This window comes from Homo sapiens, chromosome 13 (genome assembly GCF_000001405.40).
Source record: "Homo sapiens chromosome 13, GRCh38.p14 Primary Assembly".
NCBI classification, from domain to species: Eukaryota; Metazoa; Chordata; class Mammalia; order Primates; family Hominidae; genus Homo; species Homo sapiens.
Window position 1 is genome coordinate 97,524,651 of NC_000013.11, and position 25,877 is coordinate 97,550,527.

Genomic DNA, 25,877 nt, shown 5'->3' on the forward strand with positions numbered 1-25,877 from the left:
GGGCGAAGGACATGAACAGATACTTCTCAAAAGAAGACACTTATGTGGCCAAAAGACACATGAAAAAATGCTCATCATCACTGGCCATCAGAGAAATGCAAATCAAAACCACAATGAGATACCATCTCACACCAGTTAAAATGGCGATCATTAAAAAGTCAGGAAACAACAGGTGCTGGAGAGGATGTGGAGAAATAGGAACACTTTTACACTGTGGGTGGGACTGTAAACTAGTTCAACCATTGTGGAAGACAGTGTGGCGATTCCTCAGAGATCTACAACTAGAAATACCATTTGACCCAGCCATCCCATTACTGGGTATATACCCAAAGGATTATAAATCATGCTGCTATAAATACACATGCACACGTATGTTTATTGCGGCACTATTCACAATAGCAAAGACTTGGAACCAAGCAAAATGTCCAACAATGATAGACTGGATTAAGCAAATGTGGCACATATACACCATGGAATACTATGCAGCCATAAAAAATGATGAGTTCATGTCCTTTGTAGGGACATGGTTGAAGCTGGAAACCATCGTTATCAGCAAACCATCGCAAAGACAAAAAACCAAACACTGCAGGTTCTCACTCACAGGTGCGAATTGAACAGTGAGAACACATGGACACAGGAAGGGGAACATCACACACCAGGGCCTGTTGTGGGGCGGAGGGAGTGGGGAGGGATAGCATTAGGAGATATACCTAATGTTAAATGACAAGTTAATGGGTGCAGCACACCAACATGGCACATGTATACATATGTAACTAACCTGCATGTTGTGCACATGTACCCTAAAACTTAAAGTATAATTTAAAAAAAAAATACTTAAGTCTTTAAAATGGAATGGAGAAAAGATATCCCAGATAAATGTTAATTGAAAGAAAGCTAGTGTAATTATATTAATACCAGCCCAAATAGACTTAGTATTTAAGCATTGATTGGATTTTAATATACAATGTGTATTTTCTTTTTCTCCCAGTGAAAGGTCAACAGAAAGCTTCCCACCAAGGCATGTGCTACGTATCTTTTTCTTCATTCTTTGGCAACATCAGATAGTGTTATTCCTTTAAAAAGTTCTAATCGCTCACTCTCTCAGAAATTAAATTCTTTCTTTCTGTGTTTTTTCTTGTGTTGTTATTGCTATTTGTTTGACACAGAAGCTCAATCTGTTGCCCAGCCTGGAGGGCAGTGCTGCAATCACAGCTCACTGCAGCCTCAACTTCCTGGGCTCAAGTGATCCTCCCACCTCAGTCTCCCGAGGGGCTGGGACTGCTGGCATACCCCCCACGCCCAGCTAATTTTTTTGCTTTTAACTTTGTAGAGACAGGGTCTTGCTGTGTTGTCCAGGCTGGTCTCAAACTCCTGGATTCAAATGATTCTCCTGCTTCCCAAAACACTCCCAAAGTGCTAGGATTACAGGTGTGAGCTACCACACCCAGCCTTAAATTGTTCAAAAAAATTTTTTTTAGCATTTATGCTGGAGAAAAGTATTTTATGGTGAAAAAGAGTTGTCCTACCTCCTCCAAATGTTGCTTAAATCTATAATCACTTGGCCTTGTAACATCTCTGTCATCTGTTTATCCCGTTTCCATGAAAACATGCCTGATTTATTTTAATGGTGTCATTGATGCCTTTCTTTTAATTTCTCAAGTTTTCACTGAGGTTCCATGGGCTTCTCCTTACATTGAGTCCCTCTTGTTTGGATCATGGCATTCACTCAGGGTCCAACTCTCTCATTAGGTTCCAACGCATTTTTAGGTGAAATCAATGAAGTTTTTTTGAATCAAATCGTTTCATGGTATTTTAAGTAACAATCCTGACTTCAATTAAACCTTTAATGTCTTGAGCACATACCACTCACCTTAAATCTTGGTTCTTTTAAGCTAGCTGAGTTTGACCTTGTATTTCACATTAAGCCCATCTCATTTCTCAGTTGCAGCTTGGATTAATCTCTTTGAACTTCTTACTTCATTTGTTTTAGTCTGATTTTTAAGAGGTCAAGTATATTTAACTGTTTGATCATATAACAGATTTCCCCTGTCTGGATTTTTATACTGTGTATGGCATGTGGTTGGTGGCTCTATTCCAAGCTTTTCCCAAAGGTGTAATATGCACACAGCCAACTGCTTTGTTGCTGCTATCATTATTACCAACTCAGGTTTATTAAGCACTCCCTGCCTATGTCAATATGGTGCTTATGAATCAAAGAGAATCTTGGTTCTTGGTCATCGACAGTTGCCTGCACTGATTCAAAGGACAGAAAATAATCATGTCAGCCACAGCAAACAACCGGACCTAGGAGGGAGCCTTTCTCTTCCTCCTGGTGTTCCTAAACTCTGAAGAAACAGCATGAGTTTTACCTTCAAAGGCTTTGGATTGATTTTTGTACAGCTCATGAACCAGCTAAGTGAGCTTGGGAAAATCATTTAACTTCTTTGAGCCTCCGTTTTCTCTTCTGTAATACTGGAATTATGATGAGACCTGCTTTTGTGAAGACTAAATATAACAGTGCATGGAAAGCTCTTTGCACACTGTAATCTGACTAATTAAATGGCATCTGACTAATTGAATAATCCTGATTCTCCTTAAAACCAAAACTTCTCCCAAATTAAGACCCTCATATAGGGCTTCTGGGGACCAATCTCTCTGACTCTTTCAATCACGTAATAATTAGATTTGGGCTGTTAAAAGATAAACTTTGGCACAATTATTTTTGGAAATATGGGCTAATAACAATGACGTATCAGCTGAATCTAGGACTTTTTCAGGTGAGCTCAGTGTCCCTAGAGTCTATAAAAGGCTTCGTCAAGTTGTTTTCTGTGACTCTAGCCTGGTAACTCATATCAACATAAATACAACTTTGCGTGTGGTTGATTCATATCTTCTCAAATGCCTAGAAATATTTGAGCATGAGAGAGTATGTAAATATCAGTTCCAAGAGGGACAGGCTACTGCATCTCTGACTGCCTGCCATGGAAGACACCTAGCAGATAGAGAACACACAGCACGCCATGGGATTGGAGTCCCCACCAGGCCAAAATGGAGTTTGCAGGGAAGCAGCTTCAATTTTCTTCAAGTAACTCAGTTATCTTCGAGTAGGACGTAAATTATTTTCTAAAAAAGCATAGATGGGTTGATTGGCTTCTGCTTTTCTGTTGTTTTTGTTTTTTTGAGATGGAGTCTCACTCTTGCTCAGGCTAGAGTGTAGTGGCATGATCTCAGCTCACTGCAACCTCCACCTCCTGGTTTCAAGCAATTCTCATGCCTCAGCCTCCCCAGCAGCTGAGATTGTAGGCATGTGCCACCACGCCTAGCTGATTTTTGTATTTTTAGTAGAGACAGGTTTTCACCATGTTGCCTAGGTTGGTCTCGAACTCCTGGCCTCAAGTGATCTGCCTACCTCGGCCTCCCAAAGTGCTGGAATTACAGGCATGAGTCACTGCACCCAACCAGACTTCTGCTTTTGTGGATGAAAATTTTTTTAAAAAATTTTGGCCGGGTGCGGTGGTTTACGCCTGTAATCCCAGCACTTTGGGAGGCCGAGGCAGGTGGATCACGAGGTCAGGAGATCGAAACCATCCTGGCTAACACGGTGAAACCCCATCTCTACTAAAAATACAAAAAATTAGCTGGGCGTGGTGGTGGGCGCCTATAGTCCCAGCTACTCAGGAGGCTGAGGCAGGAGAATGGCGTGAACCTGGGAGGCGGAGTTTGCAGTGAGCTGAGATTGTGCCACTGCACTCTGGCCTAGGTGACAGAGTGAGACTCCATCTCAAAAAAAAAAATTTTTTTTTTGTTTGACATGTCTAATCCTGATATTTTTGTATTCTTTGATGGATCAGCCTTCTGCTCAAATATTTCAAGGCAATGGAGAAGATCTTTACAATGTACAAAGATTCATGTATTTCACTAAGAGTATCAGGCTACAGTCTTCAGTAGGAGGATTAGTCCAAAACAACCAAGTCAGCATCCTCAGAAGCTGCTCCTCTTGTCATGTGTCTTGAGAATTTTTGTTGTGATCTCATATTTGTTGCGATTCTATGTGTGAAACTTCTGTGAGGACACCATGAGTGGTTCATTTCTCTAGATGACTTGCATTTTCTAAGTGCCTGGGGGTGTGATTTCCAGTTTGAGCATTTTAGAAATCTATTAATTTAAAAGTAATATTTTTATTATTTGTGAATAAATTTTAGTTTGTTGCTTTTCAGTCAGAGAATGTGGCCAATAAAAATGTTATTTTGAAACTTCTTAATTTTCACTGTAGTCAGGTAAATGGTTTATTTGCAACTGTCTGATAGACATAGTGAAGAATGTGCATCTTTGTCCGTAGGGCAGAAAATTATCTACATACCTAATTTTAAATCAGATTTATTGATCATATTATTTGAAATATCTTTACTCTTGTTTAATGTTCATTGATTTAAGTGTATTATAGTTTCTGGTATGATTTTGGATGTTATAAGGTCTCTGTATTTCTAGTTTTTATTTGTTTTGCTTTATGTATTTAACTGCTATTTGGAGACATTGAAATTTGTTAATTTATTGTAATTTATTATAGATTATGCCTTTTATCTTTTCCCCATACAATGCTTTATGCCTCAAACTCTTCTTTATCTAGTATTATGTTATAGCAGCTTTTTTTTCTATTTTGCTTAAAATGTCTTAGTATATTTCATTATTTTCTACATTTCTTTACTATTCTATTTTAGTTGAATTTATTTTTAAACAACACATAGCTAGAATGTGTAAGCATTCTGTTGTTTTTTTGTTTTGTTTTGTTTTTGTTTGTTTGTTTGTTTTGAGACAGGATCTAGCTCTGTTGCCCAGTGGTGCGATCATGGCTCACTGTGGCCTCAAACTCCTAGGCTCAAGTGATCTTCCTGCCTCAGCCTCCTGAATAGCTAGGACTGCAGGCGCATGTCACCATGCCTAGCTATGAAGTTGCTTGTCTTTTTATATAAGAAAGCATCTCTTCACTTTCATTGTGATACTTAGTATCTTTTATTTTTCCATTTTACTTTATGTTGATAATTATTTTGTTGTTTCTTCTTACTTTTTTTCCTAATTTGCTGTATTATTTTAAATTTCCACTCTAATTCTAGAAATTAGGAAATTCTCTCTCTTAGCTAGTAGTTTCCTAACTTTTAAGTCACAAAATCATAGATATGTGGTAATAAATTTAAAGTAATCGTCCCCATATCAAGATTTTTATTAATCTGCTCTGGAACCAACTTTGTTGAGACTTATTTAAAACTGAACTCTTAACCTAAGTATTTATTCAGTATATATTAGCAAGTGCTTACTTCTGGGAATACACATAGGATTTCATACAGAGACATGCAGTCTTTCTTTTCTGTTAGGGAATTATTACTTACCTCACATTACAGTTCACAGCCACATGACCACCATCCTTTAGACTTCACTATGTGTTTTACAGGACTGCTCACTGCGGTTTCTTGTATTCTTCATCTTCTCCTGTCCTGAGATCTAGGTTATCCTTAAATTCGGTTTGGTTGGAATATATAAATAAGAGTGTTTCCTTAAAGAGAGTGGGCCATAGCATTTTTAGTAATGGCTTTCTTCTGTTCTCACATTTAAATGACATTGTGATTCATCTCAAAATTTTGTAAATCTTTACTGTTTTCCAGTTTCCATTCTGTAGTGAGACTGATGCTAGTCTCATTCTCCTCTTTATGTAACAGCCCTTTCTTTGCACGGGGAAGTTTATGAAACTTTATCTTACCGGACTTCAGAAGACTCACTTGGATGAGATTGATTTCTTTGTCATTGTTATTACAACTTCCTGGTGTTAGCTGAACCAAAAGCAAGGTCTCGTTCAGCACAGGGAAGTTTCATCTATTATTATTATTTGTTGATCAGTATTTATCTTCCATATATTAATTTCTTTGTGTGTGTGTGTGTGTGTGTGTGTGTGTGTGTGTGCGCGCGCACGCGCGCGTTTTGAGACGGAGTCTCGCTCTGTCGCCCAGGCTGGAGTGCAGTGGCGCTATCTCGGCTCACTGCAAGCTCCGCCTCCCGGGTTCACGCCATTCTCCTGCCTCAGCCTCCCGAGTAGTTGGGACTACAGGCGCCCGCCACCGCGCCTAATTTTTTGTATTTTTAGTAGAGACGGGGTTTCACCGTGTTAGCCAGGATGGTCTCAATCTCCTGATCTCGTGATCTGCCCTCCTCGGCCTCCCAAAGTGCTGAGATTACAGGCGTGAGCCACCGCACCCGGCCATTAATTTTTTTCTTAAATGCACACCTATGTCTTCCATGTCTTTTGTCTTTTCATCTATGGTTCCCATATTTTTGCATCTATGCTCTGGGTTGTGAGCTATTTCCTCCACTTGATCTTTCTGATAACCAATGTGATTTTCATCAGGAACTGCTCTCTTTTCGAGTTCATCTCTTAACTTTACATCTAGAAATTAGGCATTTTTTTTTTAATTCCAGAAATTTTATGTTCCCTTATTTTATCTCCTGAAGACTTCTCATTACATTTTCATTAACTCTCTAGTCTGTTTTTCTATAAATTCTGTCTCAATAGGACCTAGGTAATCCAGTCATTTAGGCCTCACAGTTTATTGAAATAGTCTGTTATTTTCTTTTCCTACTCAGGCCAGTGAGTGTGGATTTCTTCAGTGAGAAATAATGCAAGTCCAGCTTGGGTCTTGCTGGGGATAAAGAACTGACAGGCCTGTTTTTTTCTTGCTCAGAGTAGGATAAAAGACATAGATAGAACAGAAAACATGCCTGCTACTTTCCCTCCAAAAGGGCTCTCTAGTGAATCAGTTCATAAGCTAAGGCATTTGGGCTATGACGTGAAGCCCCCTCTATTTTCAAGATTTTGCAGGTTCCTCAATCCAACCCCTTCTGTCCTCTCCAGGTCTGCTGGAAATGCTAGATCATCCCCTAAGCAGGCAGATGCAGGACTCCTTTGGAAAGATACACTCTGGCCAGCCCCTGGTACAGTAGATCCAGATGGCAGTGCATACCCAAAGACTCTGTAGACTCATAACTTATAACCTTGTCATGACCCCCCAAAGCCTGGAAACAAATTTTGTTCATAAGGAATGTGGAAGAAAAAAAGATGACAAATAGAAGCTGTTTATTATCTTTCACTCCCAAGGCCCTACTACAATTATAGAGGGAAAAAATTGCAAAGGCGTAAACAACAAAAACAAAAAATAAAACAGGTGATATCAAGGGCCACGTTTTTTTCATGTTTTTCAAATGCAAAGTAGATGGGGATTGATTTAGGGATTGATTTAGCGAAGGAGAAGAGGCTGCTGCTGTTGAGAGCAGATACTGGTGAGAGGAGAGCCCATTCACCCTGCCCAAGTGGAGGCCTGGAGGGAGAAGACACGTGGCAGGGGAGGGAGGCTTTGGAGGCAGCATGAGGTTGGGTTGAGAGTTTCCATCCAGGAATCCAGGAATGAGCAATGGAGCAGCCTGGCACCAACTTTGCAGGCTGCAGGAGGCTGATTTCTGGCCCTCTCCTGAAGGCCAATCTAGAGCAAATGGTTTGAAAATATTATAATTACATGAAATTGAAGAAGAAACTCCCTGATGATTCAGGTGATTAAACACTAGAGTAGGCTTTCAGATAATTCAGAGGCCTGAAGTTAGAATCTTATTCCAGTGTACTTTGCGGCATCCTTTTTGGAAACAGATGATTGGACTAGGTTCATTCATTCATTCATTTGACAAACAAAAAAAAGAAAGGCATCAGATACCAAATCCACTTCATATCTGTGATGCCTGAAGGATTAGGGGGCATTAGGAACAGTGAGTACTGGACAGTGAACAATTATCTGATTATAAACCATTAAATACCAAGATCCACAATATTTATTTGTTGTCTTTCATTTGCCCAGAGTGAAGCGAAATAAAGAGAAGGAGAAGTCCGTGATGTATTCATTGTGTGTAGTTTGAGCTTGTCTCTGATAGGGAACTAAAGAAATCAATTTAAAGGAATTAAATGATAACTAATAAAATTATTCAATGCAAGTAGCATTCCTGCAACCTGTTTCTCAGGGACAATCATGACAAGCTAAATACCCTACACTTTATTCAGTTCATCCGCCATCTCTCACAGGTGTCAATTTATGATGTCACCACTTATTTTTCCACCGTTGAGTTCCTCTGGCCCACCCAAGTCAGAATTCCACCCCCACCTCCTGATCACAAACTTTTCTGACAGAAGTCATCATCCCATTATTCTCTCAATTGCCAAATGCAAGGAACTTTTCTGAGCCTGTGTATTACTCCATTCTCACATTGCTATAAAGATACTACCTGAGACTGAGCAATTTATAAAGAAAAGAGATTTAACTGACTCAGTTCCCCATGGCTGGGGAGATGTCAGGAAACTTACAATCATGGCAGAAGGGGAAGAGGCATGTCTTACATGATGGCAGGAGACAGAGACAGCGTGCAAGAGCAGGGAAAACTGCCTTATAAAACCATCGGATCTCATGAGAACTCACTCACTATCACGAGAACAGCATGGGGAAACCACCTCCATGATCCAATAACCTCCCACTGGATCCCTCCCCCTTGATATGTGGCAATCCTGGGGATTACAATTCAAGATGAGATTTGGGTGGGGACACAGCCAAACCATATCAGTCTCTCTCTCCTTTACTCTCTCTGTCTTTCTCTGATACATTAATCAGCCCTGATGTCTCTATGGCATAGGGTCATGTTGACAACCTGCTTTACCCTGACATTCTCCCATAGGTTAACACTTGTTGGATCTACTCTTCTGGCCCACCCTATAATGCTGGTCCTCCTTAGCTTCTTGATCTTCTTAGGCCATACCTTCATCGAGTTCCATGGTTTTGTTCCAATCCATGCGCCAACGGCATATGGATATGGCTGTGCACTGGGGCAATGCTTTTCTGCTGCACCCCGGGCCCATGTATCCAACACCTGGATGTCTCCTCTGGATCGTGCACAGGAGGCCATGTGGTATACAGGGAAAGAGCAGGGATTCTGGACGCAGGCTGTCTGTGTTCAAAATTGGCCGGGCATGGTGGCACATGCCCGTAATCCCAGGAGAGGCAGGAGAATCGCTTGAACACAGGACGCAGAGGAGGAGGTGAGCCAAGATCGTGCCATTGCACTCCAGCCTGTGCAACAAGAGCGAAACTCTGTCTCAAAAAAAAAAAAAAACCATTAAAAAAACCCACACTGCCATTTTCCTGGCTGTGAAATATCAGGCAAATTACTTAACCTCTCTGGGTTTCAGTTTCCTCTTCTGGGAACTTGAAATTAAAATGTTACCTATTCCAACTAGTTGTTAGGTGCAATTATTATATGTAAATTTATGTAAAATGCTGAGACCAACTCATGGCATATGGTATACATAAAATGTAAGCTATTGTTTTTGTTATGATTATTTCAGACAAGGGATTTGAAAACAACTTTATTTTCTCTTTATTCTTATTTACCATGGTAACATCATTTGTCTCCTCGCCTTCTAAATCAGAAATATGAAAGTCATTCTTCACTCCTCTCTCTTTGGAGTCATTAGATACAATTGACCCCATTTCTTCTATCAGCCTGCTCCTCACCATCCCCTGCGCCATTCTCATAGACTCTGTTTACGCTCTCCCCATCTGGTCTGGAATACTGCAATAGATTCTTAACTAGTTGTGTCTTCTATTTTTTCTCTCCCTTTAAAAATCACCCTTTGCAATGAAAACCCAGTAGTAGTAAAAAAAAAAAAAAAAAAAAAAGAAAGAAAAAGAAAAAAGAAAATGACGATGGCAATGATGATAATACTAATACCTTGTTTTTAGACATTATTCTCATTTAATCCTTACAACAAATCGATGACGTAGACACGCTTACTATATTGTCTTATAAAACTGAGAAAACTTAGGCTTTGAGAGGCTAAGAAACTTGCCCAAAGCACAGAGCTGAGACCTGACAGGTCTAGAATATCAATGCCAGCTGTCTGATCCCAGAACCTGCACTCCCAACCTCTGCTAACTGCAGGCCCATTCCTTCCAGCCATTCTCCAGTTACTGATTTCCTGCAGATGAAACTGTGCTTTCCACAGGGCCCTTTGTCAACTGATCCAGGAAAACTGCTCCAGATTCACATTGTAATCATATCTTCATAATCCTCACTTTGCATGTTACTCTTCAGCAATACCATACTGCATATGGTTCCCAAACACTTCATGGTGTTTTTCTCCTTCATGACTTTGCAAAAGTTCTTTTCTGTTTCTCTGTTTGTTAACCCTGAAAATAACTACTGAGAAAATGTAGCTTATATGTCACTTCTCTGGCCCTCTGATAGGCAAGCATTCCCATCTTTCTTCCATGCTTCTTTCATTAATGCATTCTATTTTTACTGGTGTATATACTACCTTTATCTACGTTAGTAGACTAAGAGCTTTTGGAGGGTGAGGACTGTGTTCTCATTGTATTCCGGGTACAGTCTTAGAAAATATTTGTTGAATTAAATTTATTTCAAAATAGTTGGCCTGTGTGTAGACACAGACCATGCTCAGATGGTATCTCTATTAGTCCTTCTCTTCTTACCCTTATCACACTGACCATTTAGGGCGTAAGCATCCTTCCCTGAGAGGACACTCATCTTCCGTCTTCATGTTCTGCTCTCTAATCACCATTTTTGGTGATAACCTCTCCTATCAACCATGGCTCCATTCTGTCATTTGATAATCTCAATCCCTTTTCTGCATGGAATGAGGCTGAAGCCCACAAACAAGCCAATGGGAGACTTGGCCTGTGGCCTCTATCATACTGCAGAAAGGCCTGGGAGGCCCAGCTGGGGCCAGGGCACCCAGGACTCATGGCTAGCTGTTGGATCAGACATGAGTAGAGTCTACCAGGCAGGTAGATACAGAAGGTGTTCAGAAGGGAGCTTGTCCAGGCACATGGATTTGGAGTTACAAGCATTCAGATCGTAATGGAAGAAGCCAAGAAGGAAAAGAGCTTAACAAGGGGCAAGAGTCCTTAAAGGAGACTGAGTCAGGGTGGCTGGTGCAGTAGGGAACCAACAAGAAGAATGAGGAAAAAGGTCATTAGGCAGAGGTAATATCCTAATTGAACAATAAGGAGAACCAAATTCTTAGTCACCAACGTGGGGGATTCATATGTTTCTTATGTCTCAACATTCTAATGTGATTGCTAGTAACAGAGCTATTGTGACTCATAACAGATGACCCAACAAATATCATCATTCTGGTCACAATGAAATAAACTGAAAGAAGTCTTTTTGCCTTATCTATACATTGCATGATAACCTTTGACATTCATTATTAGCAATCAATATTCTGTGTTGAGGAAGCTGAGGAAGAAATGAACAAAAAAATTTTAAAAACCCTCAGCCCCTGTATTAGCGTTCTCTAGAAGGACGGAACTAAGGGAATATATATACGAGTTTCTTAAGGATTAACTCACATGATCACAAGGTCCCACAATAGGCCATCTACAGGCTGAGGAGCAAGGAGAGCCAGACCGAGTTCCAAAACTGAACTTGGAGTCTGATGTTTGAGGGCAGGAAGCACCCAGCATAGGAGAAAGATGTAGGCTCGGAGGCTAAGCCCGTCTCTCTTTACGCATTTTTCTGCCTGCTTATATTCTGGCCACGCTGACAGTTGATTAGATTGTGCCCACCCAGATTAAGGGTGGGTCTGCCTTTCCCAGCCCACTGACTCAAATGTTAATCTCCTTTGGCGACACTCTCACAGACACACCCAGGATCAATGCTTTGTATTCTTCAATCCAATCAAGTTGACACTCAGCATTAACCATCACAGCCCCTGAATTCTGCCCTTTTCTACTGCCTGCTGGTAGATTGCACTCTCTGTGCAGGGCCTTTAAATATTCTTTATTTTCTTTTACAGACTTGCAGGATTCCGCTCAAGCCCTTCACACTCCACAATATTCCCCACTCAGTCAGCATTCTCAGTGTAGGTAAACGATACACTCAGGCAGCTATTGCAACTCTTCCAATGAGATGATGTTTTCAGATGTGTATGCACACTACATAAAGGTTTGAAATGCAAGTTGTCAATGGTCATGTAAATGGTAATTTTAATTGTGCAAAAATTTTAGAAAGCAACTTGACAATGTATTGTCAAAGACTTTAAGATGATCATACACTTTTTCTGAGTAACTCCACTTTTAGGACTCACATTAATCATGTTAATAATCAGAAACAATGGAAACAGGCTTAAATCACAAAGATCTTCATCACAGAATTACTCATAATACTTAACGACAACAAAACCTTAATGTCTAAAATAGGAGAATAGCTAAGTCAAGTATAGTATCTACTACCCATGTTAATAAGGGGGTATTATGGAGCCATAACAAATTGTGTTTCACGTCAGTTCAATTCAACAAACATGTATGGACTGCTTTAAATCTCTAGCACCACCCTAGCAGCTCAAGGCCTACCGTTGAGTGTTAAATTAAGTTTAGCCTACAGCTGCCTCCTTACATATTTTAAGTCTGGCCTAAAGCTTTCTCTGTACATAGTAAACTGTAACTTAACTGATAGTGTAAACAGGCTATAAATTTACTTGTGTGCCAATCACCAAGTTAGGGCCAACCAAAGGCAGCCAACTGTTGAAACTGGGTTCACATAAGGCAAATGTGAAACTGTTTACAATCTGACTGTTTCTGTACCTGACTTCTGTTTTCTGTAAGTCACTTTCCTATTTCTGTCCATAAATCTTCAACCATGTGGTAGCACTGGAGTCTCTCAGAGCCTACTCTGGTTCAGGGGGCTTCCCGATTCATGAATCATTCTTTGCTCAATTGAACTCTGTTAAATTTAATTTGGCTTAAGATTTTTCTTTTAACATCAGACAAATATAAATATTTGAAATAGAATGGAAGTGCCACAAAAGCATAGGGGTGACTCGGCTACCCCAGGAGGGGAAAATGGGGGAGAGGAGATGAGAACGAGTACCAAGGAATACTCAGTTTGTAACTGATGGTAGCATCCTAATTTTGTTATTTCCCTTAAACCAATAAGATTAATGCAGCAAATGGTTTACTGGGAAAAATCCAGTGTGCATAGAAAGGCTTCTAATTGATTTCTGAAATAAACAACGATTAAGATGAAATCTAGGGATGAGGAGGAGTTAGCAACAGAACAGGAGTGGGATTGGGAAGAGCGTTCAAGGTAGAAGGACTGGCCTGTGCAAAGACACAGAAGTGGATAAGAAAATGAGATGTCAGGGGCACCATAATTAGTCAAAATGGTTGGAGCACAGAGTTTCACACAGTGTCAGTGTCAACAGCCTGAAGATGGAGGTGCACAGGGCCTAAAGCTTCCTGAAAGATATATGGAGCCTGGATTTCATTTTGAGGATTAACGGGAAAGCACTGGAAGTGTTTGTGTGAGGAACTGACCTGCATAAGTTGTTACTGGTAATAGAGGAGGAGCAGCTTTAGGGAAAAACAATGATGAGTCTGGTTTTGGCCATGTTGAGTAGAATCCACCAGACATGTAGACACAGGAGGTGTTCAGAAGAGAGTTTGGCCAGACACAAGGATTTGGAGTTAGAAGCATTCCCATTGTAATGGAGGCCAAGAGGCAAATAAGCTTAAGTGGTGGCCAGAGTCCTCAAAGGACACTGAGCCAGGGTGGCTGGAGCAGCAGGACAAACAGGAAGAGTGTGGCATTGCAAAACACAGGAAAATGTATGTTTCAAGAAGTGGGTGACTGTGCTGAGAGTTACTACGGGATCAAGTAAGATAAGGACTTAAGACATTCTAAGGAAATTACCAGCAAGAACATCCATGAGCCAAGCAAGAGGAGTTTTGGCAGAATGTTGAAAACAGAAGCCAAATAGCAAAATAGCAGAGTACTGTGGCATGTGGATGTCATGGAAGCAGAGGGGAGAACGCTAAGGCAGCCATGAGAAAAAAACAAAACAAAAAAAACTGTCCTGTCAATGGGGGAATTCTACTGTACTTTTTTTTTCCTTTCAGATTGACAATGCTGGTATTCAGTGATTGGGTGCTGATGGAAATGATCTATTAAGGAAAGTGGAGGGTTAAGGGTCAAGGTGAGAGAAGAGAGAAGGCATAATTGATATAATGAGGTTCTTTGGGGTGTTGGAAAGGAAAGGGATGCAGAAACTTAGTTGGAGAAAGAATCTCTGTATTGGAATTTTACTCTGAAGGAAACGATGGGGTGGATGGAGAGCATGTAGTTTGTAGGTTTGGAATTTGGAAGCTGGGGATAAATCCGTCTTGTGGCTTTTATTTCCAATAAGAGGTAGAAGTCATAGGCATCTGCCAAGAGTGTGTAAGAGGAGGTGGGGAAGGAGACTGAGGGAAAAAGAGAAGGTTTGCAGTTGCTGTTTTGCAAATTGGATTAATTAGGAGCAGAGGAGAAGGCAGAGTTGCCCAAATCATGATGTCCATCAGTATAGTTGTGTGACTTTTTCCCAGCAGAGCCAACTATTTCTCAGTTTTTCACTCTGAAATATGCATATTTAAGCAAATTCAATAAACTTTATTCCAAGTACCCAAATGCAACTTTTGAAGGATTTATTTACCATAGGGAAATCCAAGCTCTCCAGGAAACTTCATTTCTTGTTTTCCTAGATGGTGGAGAAGCATGGTAGAAGCTCTGGTAGGAAAAAGAAGGGCATAGCAGGGAAAAAAAAGTCCAGTACATCACAATCGGTTTACATTCATTAAACATTACATAATGCTTTTTCAGTTCAAAAGGTATTGTAAAATATATTAATTCACCCCATCCTCCCAATAATTTGCTCAAAGTCAAAAACCAAGAGGGACCATGTTAAGACCAGGCTATCCTCCAGATTTTCTGAACTTAGAGTACCTCTCTTTTTAGGATTCCATAGACCCCTCTGTTGACATGGTAACTGTAGGAAGAATGTATAGCATCTGACCCAAGGATTATTCTACAGTGAAGGTCCAGGATCCTTCCTTATAGATACTTGCAAGCCTATTCTAAACACATACACACACCTTGTGTTCAACAACAACTAAAGGCAAGTGCTCTGTGGTTGATTTGCAGACTCAATTGACTGTTTGGCTCAATGTCAAGAAGAAGAAAATTGTTTCCTGCCTTTTCTGGAATAAGTGATTTCTTGACCTAGAGAGTTATAGTAATAGGAAACGTATATGTTACAAAGAACCTATGCCCAGTTAAACAAGCCCTTTTCAGCAAGCTGTCAGCTGGTATGAGTCACTTACATAGGTTTACTACAAGCCCTCTTACTCCCCTTATGAGTAAGTAACATCCTTAATCACTTTCTGAATTTTATCACAAGATACTCATTTTTGTTGAGTAGTTGGAATTTCTCGTACTACCATGAGGAAACTGAGACTTCCAATCCAAGATGAGGTCATTGGTTGATTGTTGTCTTATCTTCCACAGTTTTTGTCATTATTGCCGTTGTTGTCATTGCAGTTATCAACATCATCATCATCATTTCCCATGATTACTACCAAAATGCAGAGACTATTTTGAAGCAATATCTCTGTCTTCCTTGAGGATAAATGTTAGATATACTGGAACTTCACAAGCATTTAATATTTGATGCCTAGCAGCTACATGGAAGAAACTCAAATATACATGCTTTGTTTCCATTACAAATTTTGTTTTTGAAGCAGGCATAGGTTTTAGAGTCAGGCAGACATAGAGTCAAATTCTAGTTACATAACTTACTGGTTGTATGAACTTATTTAAGTTACTTAATCTCTTTGAGCCTTGGTGTTCCCTTGTAAAACAGGGAAAATATCTCCTTTTCAGAGTTTTGAGAGGATTAAAAGATATACTGTAAGTGAAGCACATAATAGACTTTTGATATTGGTTTCCAGCCCTCCTCCTCTTGAACCGGTTTCCCACTTCCTAGAATTATAAGTAGTCCTCCACAAAATCTTACTTACAAATTAAAATATTTGCTGAGAAAAATAACTTTGCAGGTGTCAATGTTATTTTTATTTTGTCCTGTGAAGACATGACAGGACCAGACAATCTTTCCCCAAAGCCTAATTAGAGTTTCTCCATTACTATATTTGTGTTTGTTTTTGCTTCCTTTGTTCAAATTAGGTTTTTAGGCAACCAAAATGAAACGCTCACCAAAAGTCATCCTTTGTAGCAGTAGCGACACAAATTACATTGTTCTCTAGGGTTTAAAACGCCCAGCCATTAAACTTAACTATGTGAGCTTGGCAAATCATTTCAAAAGCAAAGCAGCTGTTTCCCTTTTGCTCCTTTTTTTGAAGCCTTGCTCAACGACTTAAAGATGTACACACTCCCATCGTAGACCCAGGGAAAACCCATGAAGTACTGTGAATTCCAGCATGAAGGCTACAACAATAAAAAGAGAATGAGGTGTTTGATTTTATTTTCGAGCAATTGCATGGTTTCTAGTTGTTAAACAATATAGTGCTTACAATGTGTCAGGCACTATTCCAAGTACTTTATGAATAATAATTTGTTTAATCCTCATAAGGTATGTGCTATTATTATTCCCACTTTGCAGATGGAGACTCCGGCATAGAACATTTAACAGCTTGCTCAAGATCGTCCATCTCCTAATGGGCAGAGCTAGGTTCTGGATTCAGACAGCCTGGCTCCACGATCCAAGTTTTAAGTAGGTTCTTCCACCTCTCATTGACTTATTCTATTTATTTCATTTATTTCTAATCATTTACTTTATTTCTAATCATTTATGTTGTGTCCCTCCACTGTTTCTGCTCATCACTGCAAAGTCTTTGTTTTCATTACCCCCTTGTGACTACCTCTCTGCGCCAACAAAGATGCCATCCCCTAAGTGGTCACCATCATTGGAGCTGCCCACAGGTGTGTCTCTCCATAGGGTAGGGGAACCAGTAGGAAATTCGACTCCAGTCACTAATTCACAAGATGGCCTGCAGCTCAGATTAAGGGCAGGGTAGCTACCGCTGGAAGAGGCTTGGCAAAGAGGCCACAGCCACGAGCCCATTTTGTGCCTTTCACAGTGATCATCTTCTCAGGTCTCTGTGCTGAGTCCTTTCTCCCTGTGACACTCTCAACTCTCAAATTTGTTCAATGTATAAATGAATATGGGAATCTGTCACTACTGCTCCTGGCCAGCACAGGGCCCTTGGGTGAATTAGAAGTTATCCTCGGGCACCTGGCTAGTGACAGTGTATGGATGTGGTCTGTGGGCAAAGAGGATACTCACTTTGGGTCAAAAATAACTTCAGAGATCACCTAGTGGTCCAAGCCCAATCACTAGTTCCTTTAAGTGTAATAGTTCAATCCAACAAAACACTGCCTGAGCATCTTCTGAAGACCAGGAAGTATGCTAAGTACAGGGGAGATGAAGAGAATTGTGGAAGGCCACCTATAATAAATCAATGACAGAGTTATGCCTGGTCCCTTAGAGTCAAGAAAGGAAGGTCACCATTCTCAGTGGGGTCTTTCTTAGAGAGGGTACCTGAGCATACTGCTTGGAACATTATACGTACTTAATAAATACATATAGAGTGAAAAATGAATGCATGTCTTAAAGAGCAAGCATTAATGAGACATAAAAGAAGAAATATATTCCAGACAAAGAGAATAGCACAGGAGAAGGCCAGAGACAGGAAACAGCTTTGTGTCTCTGGGGAATTTCAGTTCAAATCCCAACGAAGGAAATGGCAGGAGTTGGAGTGAGAGTCAGGAGAGAAATCTTATTCCAGTGTAAGAGGCTCGAGCCTCATCCAGCAAGTCAGTGCTTCTCCAACTCCAGTATGTATACAAATGTAAACAAATTACTTCAAGATGTGATTGTGATTCAGGAGGTCTGGGCTAGGACCTGAGTTTCTCTGGCTCCAGCAAGCTCTCAGGTGACGCTGTTGCAGCTGGTCCATGGACCATACATTGAGTGGTAAGACATCAGGAGCTAATGAAAAGCACTGATGGATTCCAGAAAGAAAAATGACATGTGTTTGGCCCCTGATAGTTAAGAAACATTTAAAAATAAGAACAGTGAAGTATATGAGGATATGAACAATGATTAAAGTTTACTCTATTTCACAAAGGTAATGAAACAAGCATTTACTGAGCACCGTCCACATCCTGGTCACTGCACTAGGCACATGACAAACATTATCTCTTCTAATAATAGAAACTAAAGCCATAGCCCAAACTGTACCACTTTTAACTCAATGACCAGTATAAACAAACAACTCGTTTGTGTAATCTTTAAATAGAATTAACCATATTGAAATTAACTATCAACCAGGAATGTTTAGAGTTGTATATATCTGTGTATATTGTGTTTTATAATAACAGAATAGTATTTTTCTCTTGGATCATTAGTCCAGGCACATTTTTAAAGTTGATGAAGCCACTGCTCACCTATTTGATGTTCATTATTGGGTAAGAAATCAGCTTAAACTTGTACACTTGGTCACCACCCCACAACTACCAACTCCTGAAATAGGCCTAGATTTCTCATTTTAAATTCAAAATGAACACTTTGCTTCCTGTCTAGTCAGCCTTGGATGTTTCTGGCTACTGACACCACCTAAAGCTTGATTATTTGGAACTATTATTTTCAGAGAGAGAAAGACAGCTAGAGCAGAAAGGAATAAAAGAAGAGAAGAGTCAAGTGGAGAAGGTCGGCTGAGCTGCCTGGTCCCTGTTCCCACGGAGACCGCTGAAATAGATCCAGGCTGCGTCCTGTTGGATGGGTTCCTCCTGTGCTTACCGTGCTCCCCTTGTCAACCTGGCCCACTCATCAGTTCCTCCCAACTTGTTTACACTGGGGACAAGGGCTGCATGGGTACAGCAAAGGAAATTAAAACTGAGGTAGCACGAAAGAAAAAAGTAGAAATGCATGAAAGGAGATCAGACGCAGTGTTGCTGACTCCTTTCTATGAAAACCAAGCATTTCCCCAGAAGAGTTCAAAAGGTTTATAAACACAAGCCTGTGGATCTTCTGGAAGGTGGATGTCACCTCTGTGCTATTATACTCTGTAGCATAAAGAGGGCTTGACAGAGGAAGGGAGGAGGGGAATAACAGGTTCTTGGGCATTGGGCAGACAGAGGTTCCTATCTCAGAGTTGTCACTGACACATGTGCCTTGGCATTTGAACATAACTAAACATTGGATCTCTTTCTCCATCTTTAACTTAAGGTGATATCGTGGAAGATATGTTTGATCTTTGCCTTTGCTGCATCTTTTCCTTGCCTCTTCTGGTTACAGCATCCCTCATTTCCCTTTGTTGGGTAAAGCCTACCCCCATTTCATGCAATCTTTGGGAAGACTGTCAATCAAAGTATTCTAAGGGCTAAGAGTGACTCAGGCCAGGACAATCAAGACACCACCCCCACCCCACCACCCCATCATTTGTAGGACTGAGCCAGGGTCCAAAAGCCATTGGAGACTGCCTGAACAAATTGTTCATTTGTTCCTGCTCATAAAACCTCCCAAAATTGCTTTGGTTCTTGTTCTTCCTTGCAGCCTGTATGTTTAACTGTCCCCCTCCTTGCAAGCCTAACAAATTCCAAATTCCTTTTTTGGTAAAATTAACTAGTGTTGGTTTCTGTTGCTTGCCACAAAGAACGCTAAATGATGCAAATACTTGACCTCTTAGGGCTGCTGTGAGGATTAGCAATAACAAATGCAGTTCTAGGTTTAAAGTAAAGGCTCAATATCTGCTCCAAAGAATTACTACTAGGGAATAACTTAAGGTTATAACTCTAACAATCAATCCAAGGAAATTCACAAAGCTAATGAGTCTGTGCCACAGGGTGTTAAGCAATAGGGTGCCCCTTCCACAGCTCCTTCTATGGTCTAATTAACCAAGAGGTGTTGCACATTTCCCAGATCAAAAGCACCTTCCCCTACTGGCCTGCCATCCTTTCTGCAATTCCCATCATTCCTGTCATTTGTCAAGTTTTATCATAAAGAAACACTTAAAGCACTTAAATGTGGTGCTTCCTTGAACCAGTACGTTATTGGCGTGTGTGTGTATGTGTGTATGTGTGTCTGTAAATGCTTATGTGTTACTTTCCCTAAATGCAGAGAACACATGTTTGACCAATTTGGAGAGAAGTTTAAACTCACTAGGCCTAGTATGTTACTTGTGATCAAGGTTTACAATCATAAGCATTTAAGAAATTCTGTGTTTTTAAAAAATTTTTTACTTTATTGTGTAGAGCAGTTTTAGGTTCACAGCAAAACTGGACAGAAAGTACAAAGTATTTATTTGTCTGTCTGTTTCTTTTTTTTGAGAGAGGATTTTGGTCTGTTACCCAGGCTGGAGTGCAATGGTGCAATCATGGCTCACTACAGCTTCTACCTCCTGGGTTCAAGTGATCCTTCTGCCTCAGCCTCTTAAGTAGCTGGAACTACAGGTGTGTACCACCATGCCCAGCTAATTTTTAAAATTTTTTGTAGACATGGCGGTCTTGCCATTGAGAGGTGACAGCGTGCTGGCAGCCCTCACAGCCCTCGCTCACTCTCGGTGCCTCCTCGGCCTCGGCGCCCACTCTGGCTGTGCTTGAGGAGCCCTTCAGCCCACCGCTGCACCATGGGAGCCCTTCTCTGGGCTGGCCAAGGCCGGAGTCAGCTCCCTCGGTTTGCGGGGAGGTGTGGAGGGAGAGGCGCGAGCAGGAACCTGGGCTACACATGGCGCCTGCGGGCCAGCTGGAGTTCCCAGTCGGCGTGGGCTTGGCGGGCCCTGCACTCGGAGTGGCTGGCCAGCCCTGCCGGCCCGGGGCAGTGAAGGGCTTACCACCCAGGCCACCTGCTGTGGAGGGTGCGCCAGGTCCCCCAGCAGTGCTGGCCCACCAGCGCTGTGCTCGATTTCTTGCCGAGCCATAGCTGCCTCCCCTGGGGGCAGCGCTCGGGACCTGCAGCCCTCCATGCCTGAGCCTCCCCAAGCCCTCGCCCTGCCGTGGGATCCTGCGCCTCCCGGGCCTCCCCAAGGAGCGCCGCTCCCTGCTCCACGGCGCCCGGTCCCATCGACCACCCAAGGGCTGAGGATTGCGGGCACAGGGCGCGGGACTGGCCGGCAACTCCACCTGCGGCCCCCATGTGGGATCCACTGGGTGATGCCAGCTGGGCTCCTGAGTCTGGTTGGGACTTGGAGAATCTTTATGTCTAGCTAGGGGATTGTAAATACACCAATCAGCACCCTGTGTCTACCTCAGGGTTTGTGAATGCACCAATCGACACTCTGTATCTAGCTACTCTGGTGGGGACTTCAAGAACCTTTGTGTCCACACTCTGTATCTAGCTAATCTGGGGAGGTGGAGAACTTTTGTGTCTAGCTCAGGGATTGTAAATGCACCAATCAGCACCCTGTCAAAACGGACCAATCAGCTCTCTGTAAAACAGACCAATCGGCTCTCTGTAAAACAGACCAATCGGCTCTCTGTAAAATGGACCAATCAGCAGGATGTGGGTGGGGCCAGATAAGAGAATAAAAGCAGGCTTCCCGGGGCAGCAGTGGCAACCAGCTGGCGTCCCCTTCCACACTGTGGAAGCTTTGTTCTATTGCTCTTTGCAATAAATCTTGCTACTGCTCATTGTTTGGGTCCACACTGTCTTTATGAGCTATAACACTCACCACAAAGGTCTGCAGCTTCACTCCTGAAGCCAGCGAGACCATGAACCCACCGGGAGGAACGAACAACTCCAGGCACACTGCCTTAAGAGCTGTAACACTCACCACGAAGGTCTGCAGCTTCACTCTTGAGCCAGCGAGACCACGAACCCACGGGGAGGAACAAACAACTCCAGGCACGTTGCCTTAAGAGCTATAACACTCACCTCGAAGGTCTGTAGCTTCACTCTTGAGCCAGCGAGACCACGAACCCACCGGGAGGAACGAACAACTCCAGGCACGCTGCCTTAAGAGCTATAACACTCACCGCGAAGGTCTGCAGCTTCACTCTTAAGCCAGCGAGACCACAAACCCACCAGAAGGAAGAAACTCCGAACACATCCAAACATCAGAAGGAACAAACCCCGAGCACGCCTCCTTTAAGAACTGTAACATTCACCGCGAGGGTCCACGGCTTCATTCTTGAAGTCAGTGAGACCAAAAACCCACCAATTCCAGACACACCATGTTGCCCAGGCTGGTCTCAACCTTCTGGCCTCACGTGATCCTCCCACCTCAGCTTCCCAAAGTGCTGAGATTACAGGCCTGAGCCACCACTTCCAGCCAACGTGTGTGTATTTTAACTATTTTATTATGACTTCAATTTTTTCTTTGTGATAAAACATAATTATGCAGTCCTATAAAACCTTAAATCAATATACTCTATTGAACATAGAAGGAAATAACCAGGATATTTTCTTGATAAAAGGTGATGCTTGCCTCACGACGTGGAAACCTGTAACCCACCCCTGAAAAGCTTTGTTTCCTCCGAGTGAAGCAGCAGTCTTAGCCTCTTGCTCTGAGAACTGCCTGTTTATTACTTACTTGTTAGATTTCAGAAGCACACATCCTCAAGGCCATATGCAAAGGACTCTGTCTCGTTGGTCGTGAGCATCCTTCTAACCTTGCAATAGCCCAAACAGTGGAGTGTCAAGGGCAGCAGGAAACAATAAGGCAGGGGAGAGACGCAATCGAGGAGCTTCTCCGTGTTCTGTCTGGATGCCACTTAGCAGAATATCCCTCAGAGCAGCCTTCCATGGAACTAAGGCATCTTTTTGTTTTCCTTCTAGAAGAAAATAAAGACAATTTCATCCAGAAATCAGAAAAACAGTGCAGAAAATGAAGCTGAAATTTTAGGTTCCTGTTGTAAATCACAGCTTATTGTAGGGCAGGCACTTAAGATGTGGTGCCTCCACCCACACCAGAGATCTGCTGCATGTTCACCATGCGCCAGGTTTACCAGCCCTGAGCGTTAACCTCTACAATGCGAGTAGTCCCACTGGTATCATTTTCCAGCTGAGGAAACTGAGGTTCAGAAACACTCAGAAACTCATCAAGCAAATGGCAGAGCTAATATTTGAACATCAGAGCCCAAGCCTTTCTTATTAGGTATCTTAGTCCAGGCTGCTCTAACACAATACTGTAATGGGTGACTTACACAACAGACCTTTATTTCTCACAGTTGTGTGGGCTGGGCAATCCAAGATTGAGGTGCTGCCAGACTGGGTTCCTGGTGAGGGCTCTCTCCCTGGCTTGTATCTTACTGTGTGTTCACCTGGTCCTTCCTTGGTGACAAATTGTAGAGGAGATAGCAGACATATACAACTAAAGAGGGTAGCCAAGCTTTTAAATTTTTTTTTAAAAGTCATCTCTCTAGACAGAATATACATATGTGGTTTTGTAGCTATTTTTTACTAGAGATTATAAACAAAGGTAGCTGTAAAGCAATGAATTCTCAATTCACTATAAAAGTTTTGGAAGCACCATTTTATGCTAGGGGAAGTCCTAGGCACTTGAGTTCCTGTCCCCAGGGATGTTTGCAAGCAAAATATGGACAATTAAAATATAGTTGTATAATAAAGATATTAATAAAATACAAATCACCATTTCTTTTGTGGGGGTGAAGGTGGAATGGGTGCTATATTGAAATATTTTTACATATTATAAAATGCCTCATTAAGAGCCTGTCTTTTCCTGCACCTTGTCTTCTACTTCCTGCTCAAAAGTAGCATATGAACTTCCTATTTCTGCCGGCAAGTCAGGTGAGAAGAGAAAATGAGTTTATGAAAGTAGGCATGTGTCAGTGCTCTCTGAAAAAGACTTGTCTGTATGCTGCATCAGCACACACCATCATCAAAAAGCAAAGCAAAGCAGGATCGATTTTATTTTAGTGTCTGCGATTTTAAGGACAACAGAAAAACAACAAAAACCTCACATGTATTATATCATGGAAGTCTGCCAACCCTCTACCAACAATACTATTCTCATTTTACAGATGCTGAATCTGAGCATCAGAGAAGTTAAGGCACTCGATAAAGACTTCAGTGATTTTTCCAGATAATACAGGGGAAGAATTGGAACTTAAAGCCAGGTCTTCTGTCTCCAAATCCCATGACCTTTAGAGCATGTTTGAAGGAGAAAGTTCACACATTTTCATCTGAGATACCTACTACTCTTTCTAAAACTAAATGCGGAGTCTCAGCTGCTTCTATGAGCTGGTAAGGGTGCTGTCGTGGCTTTGTGACATGTCAGCTTGGCTAGGCTGAGCTTCATTTCCCAGAAATCCCTCCCTGTATGTTTCTGGTTTGGGTGGGTCAAAAGAAACATTCTGGAGGCAGAAGGGGAGGAGTAGCCATTCTGTAGCTCACAAAGATTGTTACTGATCTGCTGACTCGCCTCAGTGCTCTGGCGCAGCAGCTGAGGCTGCAGCTCTTCTCCCTTCTCATGGATCCTTTTTCAGCTTCTATGATGCCTGGTCCAGATATGTGTTTAGTTCCCAGGGTCCTGGGTTCTGCAGGATATCCTTGACACTATGGTCCAAGTCATCAAAAATGGCATAGATTTTGGTCCATCAGCATGGGACTCATGCTGTGAGTTCTAACTTGTTCTTGATCCCTGTTTACATCCATCTTCACTTTCTGACATGTGGACTTTAAGCTCCAGTGCCAAAGGCAAAGGCTACAGCCATCCAGAGGCTGCTTAAGCAGTTCCCATGATTGTAGAAGGTCAAATCCCTGTAACAAACTCAGATAGACAGATCATAGAGAGAGGACAGATGGGTAGATAAGACAGAGAGAGTTAAGAGGCTGAATTGTATCTGCCCACAATTCATATGTTGAAGCCCTAGACCCTGGTACCTTAGAATCTGACTCTATTCGGAGACCAGTCCTTTAAAGAGCTGATTAAGTTACAATGAGCCTGTCAGTATTCAATCTGACAGATGTCCTTAAAAGAAAAACATACAGCTGACCCTTGAATGACACAAGTTTGAACTGTGCAGGTCCACTTACACATTTTTTCAATAAAAATTACAATGAGTGTGTCTGTCTCTCCTGCTTCCCCTTCCACCTCTGCTACCCTTGAGACAGCAAAACCAATTCCTCCTCCTCCTCAGCCTACTCAATGAGAAGATAATGAGGACGATAATCCACTTACACTTAATGAATAGTAAATATATTTTCTCTTCCTTGATTATCTTAATAACATTTTCTTTTCTCTTACTTTATTGTAAGAATACAGTATAAAACACATATAACATATAAAATATGTGTTAATTGAATGTTTATGTTATTGATAAGGCTTCTCGGTCAACAGTAGACTATTAGTAATTAAGTTTTGGGGGAGTCAAAAGTAATACATGAATTTTCAACTGTGCAGGGAGGTCAGTGCTCCTAACCCCCACATTGTTCAAGAGTCAACTGTATCAGGAAATACAGAGAGAGGCACGATGAGAAGGTGGCCATCTGCAGCCAGGAAGAAAGGCCTCAGGAGAAACCAAACCTGCCGACACCCTGGTTTCAGACTTTCGGCCTCCAGAACTTCAGGAAAATAAACTTATGTTCTTTAAGCCACTTAGTGTGCAGTACTTTGTTATGGCAGCCCTAGCAAGCTAAGAAAGTAAGGAAAGCAAGGAAAGAAGGAAGGGAGGAAGGGAGGGAGGGAAAGAGAGAGAAAGAAAAGGAGGAAGGGAGGGAGGGAGGAAGGAAGGAAAGAAGGCAGGCAGGCATACATACATGTGTATATATTAGTGTTCTTCAGAGAAACAACAAATAGGGTGTGTGTGTGTGTCTGTATTATGTATCTATGTGTAGACATACAGAGAGAGATTTATTTTAAGGAAGCAGTTAATACAGTTGAGGTGGGGCTTTGGTGCTGGCAAGTCTGAAATCTGTAGGACAGGCCAGCAGGTTGGAAATTGCAGCAAGAGTTGATGTTGCAGTTTTGAGTCTGGAGGCAGAAGTC

The 25,877-nt window shown here is 41.8% G+C and overlaps 2 long non-coding RNA genes across 3 annotated transcripts in view; one reads left to right on the forward strand and one right to left on the reverse strand.

The window, feature by feature from the left end:
• Positions 1 to 7,103: 7,103 nt before the first annotated feature.
• LOC105370324 (uncharacterized) overlaps positions 7,104 to 25,877 on the reverse strand; it is a 179,291-nt gene continuing 160,517 nt past the window's right edge. The window contains exons 4-6 of one of the 2 annotated variants that reach the window (XR_007063845.1): positions 22,461 to 22,701; positions 8,836 to 9,167; positions 7,104 to 7,523 (exon numbers count right to left, since the gene is read on the reverse strand). This is a non-coding gene — a long non-coding RNA (uncharacterized LOC105370324). Of the gene's footprint in view, positions 9,168 to 22,460; positions 22,702 to 25,877 lie in introns of both variants that reach the window. The other variant, XR_931663.3, reaches the window with a different exon arrangement.
• LOC105370325 (uncharacterized) lies at positions 16,539 to 25,458 on the forward strand. Its single transcript, XR_001749969.1, has 3 exons — positions 16,539 to 16,642; positions 23,911 to 24,133; positions 25,293 to 25,458. It is a non-coding gene; the product is annotated as an uncharacterized LOC105370325 (long non-coding RNA).